This window comes from Homo sapiens, chromosome 10, assembly GCF_000001405.40.
Source record: "Homo sapiens chromosome 10, GRCh38.p14 Primary Assembly".
NCBI classification, from domain to species: Eukaryota; Metazoa; Chordata; class Mammalia; order Primates; family Hominidae; genus Homo; species Homo sapiens.
The window spans coordinates 35,478,447-35,493,698 of NC_000010.11; the positions used below are offsets into that span (position 1 = coordinate 35,478,447).

The 15,252-nt window shown below is 42.9% G+C and overlaps 1 protein-coding gene across 5 annotated transcripts in view; it reads left to right on the top strand.

Annotated features, from left to right (window-relative positions):
• CCNY (cyclin Y) overlaps positions 1-15,252 on the top strand; it is a 325,643-nt gene that overhangs the window by 231,422 nt on the left and 78,969 nt on the right. For 4 of the 5 annotated variants that reach the window (NM_181698.4, NM_001282853.2, NM_145012.6 and 1 more), the window contains one exon: positions 4,958-5,032. The exons of the other annotated variant lie outside the window; for it this stretch is intronic. In NM_181698.4, the coding sequence (NP_859049.2) occupies positions 4,966-5,032 (67 nt within the window). In that variant the 5' untranslated portion in view covers positions 4,958-4,965. The remainder of the gene's footprint in view (positions 1-4,957; positions 5,033-15,252) is intronic. 5 annotated transcript variants of the gene reach the window in all.

Consider the following 15,252-nt stretch of genomic DNA (forward strand, 5'->3'; position numbering starts at 1 on the left):
ATCAATGGAACAGAACAGAGCCCTCAGAAATAACGCCGCATATCTACAACTATCTGATCTTTGACAAACCTGAGAAAAACCAGCTATGGGGAAAGGATTCCCTATTTAATAAATGGTGCTGGGAAAACTGGCTAGCCATATGGAGAAAGCTGAAACTGGATCCCTTCCTTACACCTTATGCAAAAATCAATTCAAGATGGATTAAAGACTTAAATGTGAGATCTAAAACCATAAAAACCCTAGAAGAAAACCTAGGCAATACCATTCAGGACATAGGCATGGGCAAGGACTTCATGTCTAAAACACCAAAAGCAATGGCAACAAAAGCCAAAATTGACAAATGGGATCTAATTAAACTAAAGAGCTTCTGCACAGCAAAATAGACTACCATCAGAGTGAACAGGCAACCTACTCATCTGACAAAGGGCTAATATCCAGAATCTACAATGAACTCAAACAAATTTACAAGAAAAACAACCGCATCAAAAAGTGGGTGAAGGACATGAACAGACACTTCTCAAAAGAAGACATTTATGCAGCCAAAAAACACGTGAAAAAATGCTCACCATCACTGGCCATCAGAGAAATGCAAATCAAAACCACAATGAGATACCATCTCACACCAGTTAGAATGGCAATCATTAAAAAGTCAGGAAACAGCAGGTGCTGGAGAGGATGTGGAGAAATAGGAACACTTTTACACTGTTGGTGGGACTGTAAACTAGTTCAACCATTGTGGAAGTCAGTGTGGTGATTCCTCAGGGATCTAGAACTAGAAATACCATTTGACCCAGCCATCCCATTACTGGGTATATACCCAAAGGATTATAAATCATGCTGCTATAAAGGCACATGCACACGTATGTTTATTGCGGCATTATTCACAATAGCAAAGACTTGGAACCAACCCAAATGTCCAACAATGATAGACTGGATTAAGAAAATGTGGCACATATACACCATGGAATACTATGCAGCCATAAAAAATGATGAGTTCATGTCCTTTGTAGGGACATGGATGAAATTGGAAATCATCATTCTCAGTAAACTATCGCAAGAACAAAAAACCAAACACCGCATATTCTCACTCATAGGTGGGAATTGAACAATGAGAACACATGGACACAGGAAGGGGAACATCACACTCTGGGGACTGTTGTGGGGTGGGGGGAGGGGGGGGAGGGATAGCATTGGGAGATATACCTAATGCTAGATGACGAGTTAGTGGGTGCAGCACACCAGCATGGCACATGTTTACATATGTAACTAACCTGCACAATGTGCACATGTACCCTAAAACTTAAAGTATAATAATAATAAAAAAAAAAGAAAAACATCATAGAGGTGAACTGAAACCACTACGCTCTTCCAGATGTATTCTACCTCATGGTAAACATTGGGGATATCATTTTTCCTGACTCTGCAATGAGGGGATCTTTTTCCTTCATGGCTAAAATTGCAGTGTTTGTCATGCTTGGCTTCAGTGTGAAGTTAGGGTGATAAAGCAGGTTCATTTTGCTTGGCTTCTGAGAATGGTGGCTTTTCCCCTTTTTTTTTTTGTTCCCCAAGGAGGTAGAGTTCCCATGATAGAACACATATTGTAATTACCATAGTTTTCTTCAAGATCTGGCCTGTATTCACCTCATCCGTGAATTTCACATCAGACACTGGTCTTGAAGTCTCTGAACTCTGCAAGTCACTTGCTGTGTGTCACCGCACTGGGGAGAGATGACACCTGGCCTGTCATCATTAGGGACCACTTGTGGCCCAGGGAGCATTCTTGTCAGACTTAGAGTTATAACTTGGCCATGAAGGAAACGTGACAGGGTTTTCTTAGCCTCCCACTTGGTGCTCACCTTTCATAGGGAGAGTGTGAGACATAATCCTGCTGCTTGGCTTCCCCCACAGAGAACAAGTGGTCATTCCGCCTTTCCTCGCTGCAGCCCTCTTGAGGAGGAGCGGAGAGGCACGGGCTGCTGGTGGAGGGCGAGGGTGCCATCGCTCAGGAGTGCCTCTGAGCTGGTCAGTTTTCACCCTGAGCTTCTATGACAGTGGACACTGCCGAGGGGAGACTCATCTTGGTGACTCTGTGTGAATCTCCTCTGAATTCAGGGAGAGCTTCAGGGCATCTTCTGGGAACACCACCCTGTGTTGGAGAGGCAGTCCAGCCACTCAGAGGGTCAAATCAGTTTTCACAAGTAGTTTTTAAACAAAAGTTAAAAAAAGCAAACCAATAGGCTGGGCACAGTGACTCATACCTGTAATCCCCCAGCACTTTGGGAGGCTGAAGCAGGAGGATCACTTGAGCCCAGGAGCTTGAGACCAGCCTGGGCAACACAGTAAGACTCTGTAGCTACAAAAAATAAAAAAATTAGCCAGGCTTGTGGTACATGCCTGTAGTCTCAGCTCCTCAGGAGGCTGAAGCAGGAGGATCGCTTGAATCCAAGAAATTGAGGCTGCAGTGAGCCATGATTGCACTACTGCACTCCAGCCTGGGTGACAGCGCAAGACCCCATCTCAAAAACAAAAAAACAAACCAATGAAAGTGTTTACAGTGCATAAAACTCAGAAAACAATCACATTATTCAAAGATAACCAAATATTGGTGTATATTCTTTTGATGTATTTTCTATGCCTACACATATTTTCCCCCAAAAGGGTATCATAATGCTTTCGTCACCTAATGACATACGGTACATCGGTTTCCGTGTCAATAAAATATTCTTCATGTGATTTTTAGATGGTATGATAGCATTTCACCATCCAAATGATAGTACTATTATTTACTATTAAAAGTGTCCCATTATTGGAGGCTGTCCCTTAGAATCTGTGATATCCCCATTATTAACAACTTTGAGGGCTTGTGAACATAACAGCATAGAACCCCAATCTGCAGGCAGTTAGGGGATTGTCTTCCAGGACATTCTTGGACTTAGGAGCAGGATCTCAATTCTCCAAGAAATGACAGTCTTGTGTTATTTTGGTTCCAAACAGGAAAGCTTCACATTTTTTGATTGTGGTGTTCCATAAACCTCTACTGATGTATTTTAGTAATAAAAGTGGGTCTTAAAGAAAACTGGTCTGGTAGATGAGTCTCAGTTGGGCATGAAGGGAATAAGGTAGTAGTCGCTAGTCCAGATGCTGTCTGAGGCCAAGGATTGATTTTCTGGTGTCACCTTGCTGGCATGTGGGAACTGCATGCATGATGTGTTTCCACTGCTGCTTTTCTAGGGGACTATGTGTTAAGTTTCTTGGACATTAAAAGCATCCATCCTGGTTAGGATTTTATATTTGCCCTCATTTTGATATGCAAAAGCCCTCAAAACATTTAGTAACGCATTTGTTATTTAACCCCTTTTATATCCTAGTTGAGCAGGAAACCTCCTTGCAGAGTCATTTTCACCATGAAATTTCTTGACTAACTGTAGTTCAAATTGAAGCAAATTCAAAAAATTCAGTGTCTCTTCCACCCATCTTTCTCCTTCCATCAAACCCCCTTAATAGCTTTGACTCTGAAATTATTGTGTAATGTTAACAGAAGTTATATAATACAAGAAGGATCAGATAATTGAAGTAGCATCTGTTTAAGATTCAATAGATGTTTCTTTAATCAGGTACTCCGGGAGAAGTTAGGAACTGGCCCAGTAGCCATTGGCTGATGTAGGAAAAAAATCACCACACTTCAGAAGTTTGCTCAGGATAAATCTCTTTGTGGATAAGTGATTAGGTGTTGCCTCCAGTGTATATTTATTTTACCATCCTTTTCTTTCTTTCACTTTATCTTTGATTGATTATTAACACTAAGGATAGCCCCTTCTGTTTTTCTTAGTGTTGATTAGGTTTCTCTGCAAATTTATTGAAATAATTGAACCCAAGAAGTTTTATTCTGACTCTCTAAGTTGGTTTGAAGACCATTCTGGCTTTCCAGTAATTTTGATCTCTTTCCTTCCCTAACTTAATTCTTCTGTTTTGCTTATTTTCTATGGAATCAGTTTTTTGTTTTTTGTTTTTTAAACTGGAAAAACTCTTCTGTGATGGCATTCTAAGTTGTTTATACCATCCTGACAAGTTGTAGACCTTGGAGCTTGTTCTAAGAGTTCTAAGATTGCAAAATCAAATGCTTGTGAAGACCTGCCAGTAAAGCAGAGAGGGGTGGTCACTGGGGAGCTGGAGTCTTATGTCCCATAAGGGACACAGCCACTGTGAAGGGGTCACAGCTGCTTGGCTTCAGCCAGTTGTGTCCACTGGGGTGGGGGCTCAGTGTTGCCAAACGATCTGATTTCTCAAGGGAAGCTGGAAATAGGTGTGTGTGTGTGTGTGTGTGTGTGTGTGTGTGTGTGTGTGTGTGTGTGTGTTATGTGTTTGAAATCTCTTGATTTTTATATGTTGTCTTAAATGTTTTTTAAAAAGTAGGGATCAAACAAAACATGTCTGGGGCCCAGATTAGGTCCACAAATGGCCGATGTGTAGCTTTTGCTCTAAGGGACAAGTTTTGCTTTTTCAGAAAATAATTAAGCAGAGTATGTGGATGCTGATTCGCCCTAACGAGTTGAGATATTCCTATTTTAATCACCTTGAATAAGGAACTACCATGTACTTGACTGTAATGTTTCGATGAATCTGTTGTAGCACATAACTCTCTTTAATCACATGCCATAACTCTGTCCTGCTATTTTATAGTATATTGGGTGCAGAGCAGAATTTTTTCAGGAGAAAGTGGAGTTTTTCTTAGGCTAATAGATGTCTAGCCAACTGTCTAATTTTTATGTATGACTTTCATATTTCTAAATAGCAGTGTTCTGAATTGAACCAAAAGAATCTATTAACATAATAGCTATAGGTTTCCAGAATCCTTGAATGTATTAGCAATTTAAAGTTGAAAAATAATTGAGTCAATCTTGATTCCTCTTAGTTATCAGATGGTTTATTCATATAATTTATTTTCCTTTCTTTAAAGATTTGAACATGGAATTCAATCCTTCAGATCATCCTCGGGCCAGCACAATATTCCTCAGTAAATCTCAGACGGACGGTAGGTCCTTAATTTATGTTTCTTTTTGTAAAAAAGGCTCATGTTGGTACTTCGCCTAGTGTTGATTTCCCACAGGATTTAATTTTCAATATGAAATAGAGTCCCTTTAGTGACCCACACATATACTGTTTAATGGTAGTTCTCTTGGGATTTTTTTCTTTTGCAGTGTTATGTTTTTAGAATTTCCTATTTGAAGCATCTATCCTCATTTTGTCAATCAGCTATATTATTTCTACATACATTGTGTCATGGGAGTTTCTGCCCTAAGAGTCAGAAATTTTCCTTTTAGAATTGATATTTGCATAATTTCTCATAAGATCAGAAGTATTTGTTAATTTAGACAGTATGTAAAAGAAAGCAAAATATAATCCTTAAATAAAAGTACCACCAACTAGCTCTGTTGTGTCAGTTGAGAGCTGAATTGAACCCATACTGTAGGTGCAGATGTTTTCTTTCTCTTTTTTTTTCCACCTCTATAATAATAACAACCATATCTAAGTTTATTCTTGTAGATCGTACCATCTTTATGGTTCATCCCAGGTGTGTGTGGGATTTCTTCTAGGAGTTTTCTCTCTTTTCAGCCCCCTCCCTGGGCATTGGCTGCAGAGGAGAGAGAAGATAAAACTTATACAATGTGGCAAACACACATCTTCATTGGATTCCTATAGAAAAAGGTGGCAGGAGAAACTCGTTAAATGATGATATCATGACCAGGATATTACTTTAGGATGCTGGAGTCCTACATGATTCTATCCCTAACTTTTTGGGCAATTGCTAAGCTTTAATTCAGAGAAGATCCTAAATGGACTAGAAAATAACCAAACATGTTTAAGATAGTAAGTTCATAAATGAGAATTGATAACACTTCAGTAACGATTAGGTAACAATTTTGGCAAGGTATAGTGCTGATTTAATGTTATTGGGAATCTTTAGTTAGGCAAGCCACTGACTGGATTTGAAAGTTTGATGTGTTTATGAAAAGTAAACGTTTCCAAGAATAAATTAGTATAGGCATCTAGTATTTAGGTTGGTGCAAAAGTAATTTCAGTTTTTGCCATTAAAAGTAATGGCAAAACTGAAGTAAGTTTTTGGTGTGCTGGATACAAAAGAAACATTTTTTTCCTCTGGTGAAGCAGGAAGCCATTGGGAGGGGTGGGATAATACAAAGGAAGGAGAGTGGTAGTGAAGATGGGTGTTTGGAACCATGAAAAAAGAGGGTCAAAACCAAGTTTTGCAGACACTGATAGTACTATAAAAACAAGAAACATAGTACTATAAAAACAAGAAACAAAGCTGGCTTACTTTCGGGTTTCATTCTTGCTTCTTGTGAACTCAGAGTGCAGACCAACTTCATTCAGAAGATGTGCTAACAAGATTCCCATGAAATTGCATTAGGCCTCTAAGTGGATTTCCCATACCTTGGTTGTCCTGGTAGAAGGAAACTTGACCTAAGTCAGGGTTGTTCCAGACTTAGCTTAGGGAACTGTATCTTCCCTCGTCACCTTTGCACTAGATATCATTCCCTTTCCTCTTCTGGAACATCAGGGCATCAATTACTCTGACCCCTCTGTTTATTGCTTCAGTTTCTCTTTAAATGCTTGATCTTTCTACTCAACATGTAAACATAAATGAGTCTCATAGAAAAAGGGAAAGTAACCAATACCTCTCTTCAGGTGAAAGCTTCTATGCCATTTCTACCTCTCTCCCTGTCCACTCTCCCATTGGGATCTTCCTCCTATCCCTGCCATTCTGTGGAGCATAGCAGTAGAGTGACCTAAGGACATTTTCTCTTCTTGGGCTATTGCCCATGTATGTGGCACTTGCTGTCACCAAGAATTCCGTGCTTTTTAAAAACTTTTTGGCCTTCTGTTTTCAGATGGGCAGTTTGCTGAAATTAAGTGCTTCTAATGAACAATTGCTTTATAAATAATTAGAAAAAATCAATTTTAAAAATAGGTAGATTTGGGCTGGGCGCGGTGGCTCACGCCTGTAATCCCAGCACTTTGGGAGGCCAAGGCGGGTGGATCACGAGGTCAGGAGATCGAGACCATCCTAGCTAACATGGTGAAACCCCGTCTCTACTAAAAATACAAAAAATTAGCTGGGTGTGGTGGCGGGCACCTGTATTCCCAGCCACTCAGGAGGCTGAGGCAGGAGAATGGCGTGAATCCGGGAGGTGGAGCTTGCAGTGAGCCGAGATTGTGCCACTGCACTCTGGCCTGGGCGACAGAGCGAGACTCCGTCTCAAAAAAAAAAAAAAACAAAAAAAAAAAACACGTAGATTTGGTAACTTTAATGAATTCTTTAGTGACATGATAATCAGAGAATTGGCTACTTGGTGAATTGGCTTTTGGCAAATTGGTCCTAAGAAATCCTGCCCTTCTGAAAGCTCCTCAGACATCTTCATAAACTTCTATTTGTCCCTCTAATGTAGTATTTCCCAGGGTCTCTTGTTTACCCTCTTATCTTTTTGGTTTGCACACAGTTCCTCATGGCATTTATGTCAACTGTCGTGTCTAACCATATTTTTCTCTGTACTGTTCAAAACCCACGTATTCAGCTGCCTGCTGGACATCTTTACAATGAAGGCTGTAGGTTCCCCTGACTCAGTATGTCCCAGACAGAACTTAAGAATTCCAGTTAACTTTCTGCATTTTCTACCCTGCCCAGGTCCCTAAGCCAAGGAGGGCTTTGGATTTTCGTAGACTCTCCTCTTCTCACAGGTGGGCAGCGGTGCTGGAGATACATTTCTTCCCAGCTCCAGGTTCAGTGACATCATATTGGCGGCTTGAAATAGCCATAATCAGAGTATTTACACCATGGAAATTGGTAAATGCTGCAAATCAGAGCATTTTTTAAACAGATGACTGTTAAACATTTACTAGTACACCATTGCATCCAGGCATTCCAAGGTGTACTCAGTTTCACCTCTTACCCAGCCTTGAACCTGACCACTATTTCCTATTGCAGTTGCTGCCACCTTAGTTCAGACTCACAGTTCCCCACTTGTGTTACTGCAGCAGCCTCTAGACTGGACTCCCTGCCCTTGACCTTATCCCTCTCTAGTCCCTGGTCTGTGCTGCCGCTAGCTGACAGGACTTCCCGTGAATCAGATACGATTGTGCCACTGGCTTCCTTAACCTTTCTCAAGGGCTCCCCAGTTGCTTTAGAGTTAAATTTCAAACATCTTAGCATGGAATATGAGGCCCATCGTGATCCAGCCTCTGCCTTCCTTCCCAGCCAACTTCCTCTCTTCTTTGTGTACTTCTGTGCTTCCGCCATACATACTGAATCACTTGCTTCCTCAAGTCTGCCACTTGCCTCACACCTGGATTTCTCCTTCCCTTTTTCACACAGCTGATTTCTTCTGTCCTCCAGGCTCCTCCTGCTGTCACTTCCTCCTTGAGGGTTTCTTTGATCCCTCAGCCTGGGTTGAGTGGGGCTTTGGTGAGCTCCCATAGGAGTAGCCTGTGGATCTTTCTTCATCATCAGAACCATACTGTGGAATTTAAAACGACCTTTTTGTCTTTGCCACCCGCTAGCCCCTAGAGGAAAAGGATCATGTGATATTGGATGTCAGTATTCCTTGTGCCAACCTGACTGGTTGAAAGAAGGAAGATGACAAAACCAGGAAACATTCTTGATTTGATTGTGATAATTCGTCACTTGGATAAACTTATATTTCCATTACAAGACCACAACTGTGGGTCTTCTACCCTATTTTTTTTCTAGTTGGAAGAAATATAGTCTGAGACAGTAAGGCATACTTCTATTAGAGTCTTTTCTTTTGAATCTGGTGATTTCTCCTCTTTCCTTCATTCAGGTTAATATACTTTGACAGTAGTTTAGATTTGATTTGTGGATAGGAAGCCATGATTGGGATGAGGACAGTCATGTTAGGGCAGCTGCTGCTTGGACCACAGACATGCAGCTCCTGGGTCTTGACAGCTCCGTGTTTCTGCAGACCCCACATTCTCTTTCCCCTCAGCACTTCATGATGTGGGAAACAAGTTGTCGGCCATGCATCCCACCTCCCAGCTGTTCACTAGACTGATTTAGATGGCACTTGCATGATGTCATCAGAGTTTTCGTGATTGCTGAATTCCTTTTCCTTCTGGATATCCAAGAGATTTAGGCTGGACGTGGAACTTTTTTCTTGTTCCAAGCAGGAGACTAGGAACTCCAACAAAACTGGTTAAGTAGCCTGCTCATCAGACCCCTCCAGAGGCTGAAGGTAAGGGTATTTTATCCAAAGCCAGAGTGACTGCTTTCTTTCTTCACACAAAGAGGATGACATTGCAGACTTTGTACAGGAGCCACTCAGCAGAGAAGGGACCAAGAGTTCCTCATGGGGGTAGAGAAGTTTGCCAGGCCAGAGAGAAGTTAGGTTGCGAGACCTGCCATGGTTTTTCATGCTACTATCATTACTTGTGGGGAAGAATTGTAGTTCCTCATGTCCTTTCCTTTTCTGTACTTATTTTAGTTCATCATTTTCAAAGATGTGAGAGCTTAATATTCTTAAATAATATGAGAAAGCAGCCAAGCCACATCTTTTTCCTTTTAATTAGTGTGATTTTTAGAGATTTATTGTCTTAACAAAGAATTTGGAGGAAAAAACCCTAAGTTTGCGGAATCTGTGTTTCTCAGGAGTCCCTTGAAATAATTAAAGGAATAAAAACTATCCATCCCTTGAGTGGCTTGAGCCAAAGTAGAAACATTAAAATTCAGAAATAAAAATATGATTCTTAGTTTTAGTTGCACAACCTTTTAGAAATACTGAAATTGAAAAAATATTCTGTGGCTGTCCTCATTGGGGTCGTGTTTTGGTTACCGGGCAGTGTTGAACTTTTGCGTGGTGAAACAACCACCCTTTTTGTCCTCCTCTTATCTAGCATTTAGGAGCAACTTTCCACTGCCCTGTCGGGATTGCTTTCCTCCGAGCGCTGCCATGGCCTTGCTGTCCTCACCTCACTTGCATTCCCAGCTGTCTTTGGCTCGTTCGTGTGTGCAGGTGTGCAGGTGCTGGGGTGCCCCTTTCTCCAGCTGCCCTCAGTTGCTCGGTGTGTCTCCTTCAGGGCATGTCAAGTGCCATAGGGAAGACCTAAGCTTACACCAGTGATTTTCATGCTTTGTTCCTTTGCTTACATACTATGGAAAACAATTTTGAAAAACTGAAGTCCCTCAAGCATTTTTACGTTGACCTTAAAATTTTTTTACCCTATCAAAGCACATAATTTCTGATGGATTATAAACGTTGATATTTTAAAATAAACTGGCCTTCTTTAACAAATATTTCAGATGAAATTTTAATACCAGAGTGATTTGATACCCACCTTCAGTCCTTTAAAAATGTATGAACATGCTCCTAACAGTTGGAAATTTCATATCACTCCTTTATCATCTTGAACTTGTATTTCCATACTATTTTCTCCATAAAATGTTATACTAGTATAATGTATTTTGATTTTGAAAAGTCATTTATCACACTATCATATTCTTTTCTATAAAAATATGACCTAGGCCGGGCACGGTGGCTCACGCCTGTAATCCCAGCACTTTGGGAGGCTGAGGCAAGCGGATCACGAGGTCAGGAGATCGAGACCATCCTGGCTAACAGTGAAACCCTGTCTCTACCAAAAATACAAAAAACTAACTGGGCGTGGTGGCAGGTGCCTGTAGTCTTACATTTTACCGGATAATTATTAAACAAAAAAATGAAATATTTTTTGGAAAAACATTTCTTGGTGAGATGCCTCTATGGGTTGATATTACTTATTACTGAAATGAGGCAGTATTCATCATCAAAGCCTTTGTTTTTTGTTTTGTTTTGTTTTGTTTTTGAGACGGAGTCTCGCTCTGTCGCTGAGGCTGGAGTGCGGTGGCACTATCTTGGCTCACTGCAAGCTCTGCCTCCTGGGTTCATACCATTCTCCTGCCTCAGCCTCCCGAGTAGCTGGGACTACAGGCGCCCACCACCACGCCCAGCTAATTTTTTGTATTTTTAGTAGAGATGGGGTTTCACCATGTTAGCCAGGGTGGTCTCGATCTTCTGACCTCATGAGCCACTGCACCCAGCCAAGCCTTTGTTTTTATAGATGTAAGTGCTGAGGAACTTTGTTCATCTATATAAATAGATGGAAATAGAAAGATTTTTATTATAGTCATATCATTGAATTCTTTCTACTCTGTCTAGTTTATATGTCGAAAAATCTCCAAGGGATTTGTCAGCCAAAATAATTCCTAATAATCAGCTACAGTTCAGTTTTGTTCTCCTTCTATTTTATTGACAGTAGAGAATTGGAATCTATTTGATTTGCAAAAGAATTACTCAGTTAGAGGAGTCCCTCATTTTTACAGTTTCTGGGAAGTACATCAAAAAAGGTTTACCAAATGTAGCACATGACTTTCAATTATATCTACTACTCTTTACATTTGGTGGCACCTAGTTTAACCTGATATCCTTGGGAGCTTTGGGAGAATAAATCTAGGCCTAATCTCAGAACACCTTCCCTGACTGCTGCCCCACCGCATTCTGCATGTCCCTCTGTCGCCGCAGAGGTCTTCAGCGTATCGTGATTTATTCCAAGTCTTCATGTTTATACATCTCTGCCATTCACAGTGCCAGGCCCATAGAAAGAACTCAAATATATGTTGAATGGAGGAACCCCCACCTGCTCTTTTCCTCTGAACTAATGTTTTCAGCTTCTCTTTTGATTTAAATATATTTTCCTCAGAATGCTACAGGTTCTTCATATGACTTTGTTGGCAAAGCCAGGCATCATAGTCAATCCAGTCAGTCAAATCAGTCTTACATTATTTTTAATTATGTATTTCTTTATTTGTATTTTTGCCTATCACACCTGTTTCTTAGAATCAGTCTTACCTTCTGTGAGAAAAAGTCTGATTTTATTTTTGCAATTCACATAACATGTTAATGTGCATGCCCATGGCTGCCTTTGTGCTTCTGATCATAAATGGCCAGACAGGCGCAGGGGAGTGCACACCTAGGCAGCAGTCTGCGGTCCACTGCACCTTCCCGCCCTTCCCTGTGTCCTCCTGCACTGCTGCCCTCGCTGCTCCCCGAGCTTTGCTTGGGGGTCTAACGCCTGAAGAGGCAGGTCCTGTTGGAAACCATCCTCACTGTGATATCTGTAAACCCAGAGCCGGAAGTCTTTCCAGCACCCCTCCAGGGAAAGTCCATAGGACAAAGAAGCCTCCAGGTTGTGCCACAGGAGGCTGGCAGGAGATGAAAGACACATGAACCTGGATTGAAGGTGGTTACCACAACCCCAGTGGCTGCTTGTCTTTCCATCTGGTGCCCCTGGAGGTTTTCACACCAGGTCAGTGCAGGCCTCAGCTCAGGTGTGCCTGCCTTTCTTTGTGAAGTTGTGAGGGAGGAAGGTGGTTCCTGCATCACACCTCAGCCCATTTGAAGGTCTCTTTGAATACTTGGTTTGAGGACCTTTGCTCTAGTCTAGCCCTAAGTTACTTGTGACAGACCATTTCAATAAAAGAATTGCAAAAACTACTACCTCACCTGTCTTTCCCTCTAGTTTGGGGTGTGTGGAGGAGGGTGGGTACTCAAAAGCCATGAGTAGTTGAGTGTGCAGACAGGTCCATTTGTGCGTGCTGGGCTGCCCATGCCCTTGCCAACCTGTGGCCACCCCAGTGGCAGGGAACCAGCCTCTGGCCTCCAGTTAGGCAAGGCTCTAGGACCCAGCTCTGCGTTAGGCCTTTGTCTTCCATTAGTGGGATTTATAGTCACATAATCTCTTGGGTCATAACTTCCTATAAATTGACAATGGACACACCTGTCTCCTTAGAAGATTGCTCTCCTGAAGCAGTAGGGTGAGTCCCAGGCACACAGCGAGCCCTCAGCAATGTCTGCTCATTGACTTGTGATGTAACAGGTACTTTGGGATCCTCACTGGGGATCTCTTGAGCCAGCCTCTTCCAGGACCCCTGGCAAGAGGAGCCACCCCGTCCTGCCAGTGTAAGCATGTGTTCCAGAGATGTTTTCTGCCGCCTGGTAGACAGCCAGTCTGGAAATCGTACATGCTCCTTGGGGTTGGCATGTCCAAATCAGAAGTCAGCGTCTTTCCTCTCCTGCCAGCTTCCTCTCCCTTGTCACCTAATTTTTTATTTATTTATTTATTTTTTTGAGACGCTCTGTCGCCCAGGCTGGAGTGCAGTGGCACGATCTCGGCTCACTGCATGCTCTGCCTCCCGGGTTCACACCATTCTCCTGCCTCAGCCTCCCGAGTAGCTGGGACTACAGGTGCCTGCCCCCACACCTGGCTAATTTTTTGTATTTTTAGTAGAGATGGGGTTTCACCATGTTAGCCAGGATGGTCTCGATCTCCTGACCTCGTGATCCCACCCGCCTCGGCCCTCCAAAGTGCTGGGATTACAGGTGTGAGCGACCACGCCCGGCCTCATAACCTAGTTTTTAAGAATAAACCCATTGCTTGTCTGGGTCTTAATGGGCACCCCCAGAGTCCTGTAGTCAGTGTCTAAGCTGCACCTATATGCCCTGAATTTCTCCCATCCTCCCCTTCCTGCCTGGACTCTCGTTTCCTCCTTCCTCACCCAGTCTGTGGCGAGCCCCTTCCCAGTCTCCTGCCTCCATCATGTCCTCTCTCAAACCTTTCTTCCACCTGTCTGCAAGTGGAGCTTCTCTTAGGCCCCTCCCTGCCTGACCGTCTGTCTCCTCACCACTGGAACAGTGAGACACCAGCACACACACAGAGCCCTTTTCACCCTTCTTGTGGGTCCCCTCCCCTCCAGGCCTGAGAGGCCATCATCTGTGGCATGCTCTGCCCGCAGCACCTGCCCTCTGTCCATGCTGGCCCAATGGCTGCCTCATAGGTGATGCTTCCCTGTTTCTCTTCATTCCATTGATTGTGATAGACACCTTTCCTTGGCTGGAACACCTCTGAAATCAGCACAGTCAGTGACTTGCCAAAATTTAATTGGCAGCATTTTTTTTTTCTTTCTTAGTGACACATAGAGTAATGGTTTATCAGAAAATCAGTGGCATTACGTTCAGTGCAGTTTGCATATTCCTCTGTGTGGAGGTGATTATTTTTGTGGTATAGAAATAAATAGCTTTCTGTTTATCTGCTGGATTGCATCTTGCTCATGGATAGGAACTGTGCCTTTCACATTCCGCAGTCTCTGCAGTGGCTAGCACATAGAAGAAACTCACAAGCATAGGGGAATGAAGGAATGAAGGCAGGGCATCATGACCCACCCTGGGCAGACTTGCCGTGGCACGGTGGCAGTCTTCCCTGAGTAGTGGCTTTCTGTTTTGTGTTGCAGCTTTACCTTCTCCTACCTTCCCTAGCTTTGTTAGAAAACGACACATCCATTATTTAGGGACAGGAGGATGTAGGTTTTTTTAGGCTCAGGTGGTGTATTTGGGCTTTCCTATTCCGGGTCAGAACTCAGCATGACCGTGCCACCCTCAGGCCAGCTCTCCCCTCTCCCCTCTGCAGTCTTCTCTTGAGGTGCATGGGGGGGGGAGGGCAGGTATCAGGTTTCTTGGCCAGGCCTCGCCCTGTAAGTCAGAGGCGCTCTTTGGGTGCCGTGGCTCACTTTTCTTGGGTGCATCACCTGACTCCAGTATTTCATCCCTTGGGCTTTCCAGTGTGGAGAAAGCTGCTGATATAGTACAAACTCAGATGAAATCATTTAGACCCAGAATGTCAGTTTTCTCCGTACCTTTTATCATATCCTCTCTCCTGACCTGCGCTGTTCCCAGTCAGAACATTGCTCAGTGAGCACAGATCCAGAATAGAGGTTAGCAGGGATAATTCCCCCAGGCTGGGGGGAGTTTGATGCCCCGTCTACCACAGCCTTGTCCTACTGTTAGACAGCACCTGTGGCCTGCTGGTAGCCATAAACTTACTTTTCAATTCTCTTTTTAAAAACTCTGAGCACCTGCATTTCCCCTTCAGTTGGCACAGACTGATAACCTTGTAAATACTTTTCATAGCTTACCATGTTTATAGCTTACCTTACGTGGCTTATGTTTTTGGCTGGCTGCCCCGTGACATCTAGGGAGGCAGCTGAATTTCAGGATAATCTGATGCAGTCACCATGTAAGAATAGTTAATGCCTTGGAATGATTGCCTGAAGATAGCGATCCTCTGGAATCAGACTGCCTGAACTGGAGGCTTAGATCCAACACTCTCCACATAATCTTGGTGCATATGATC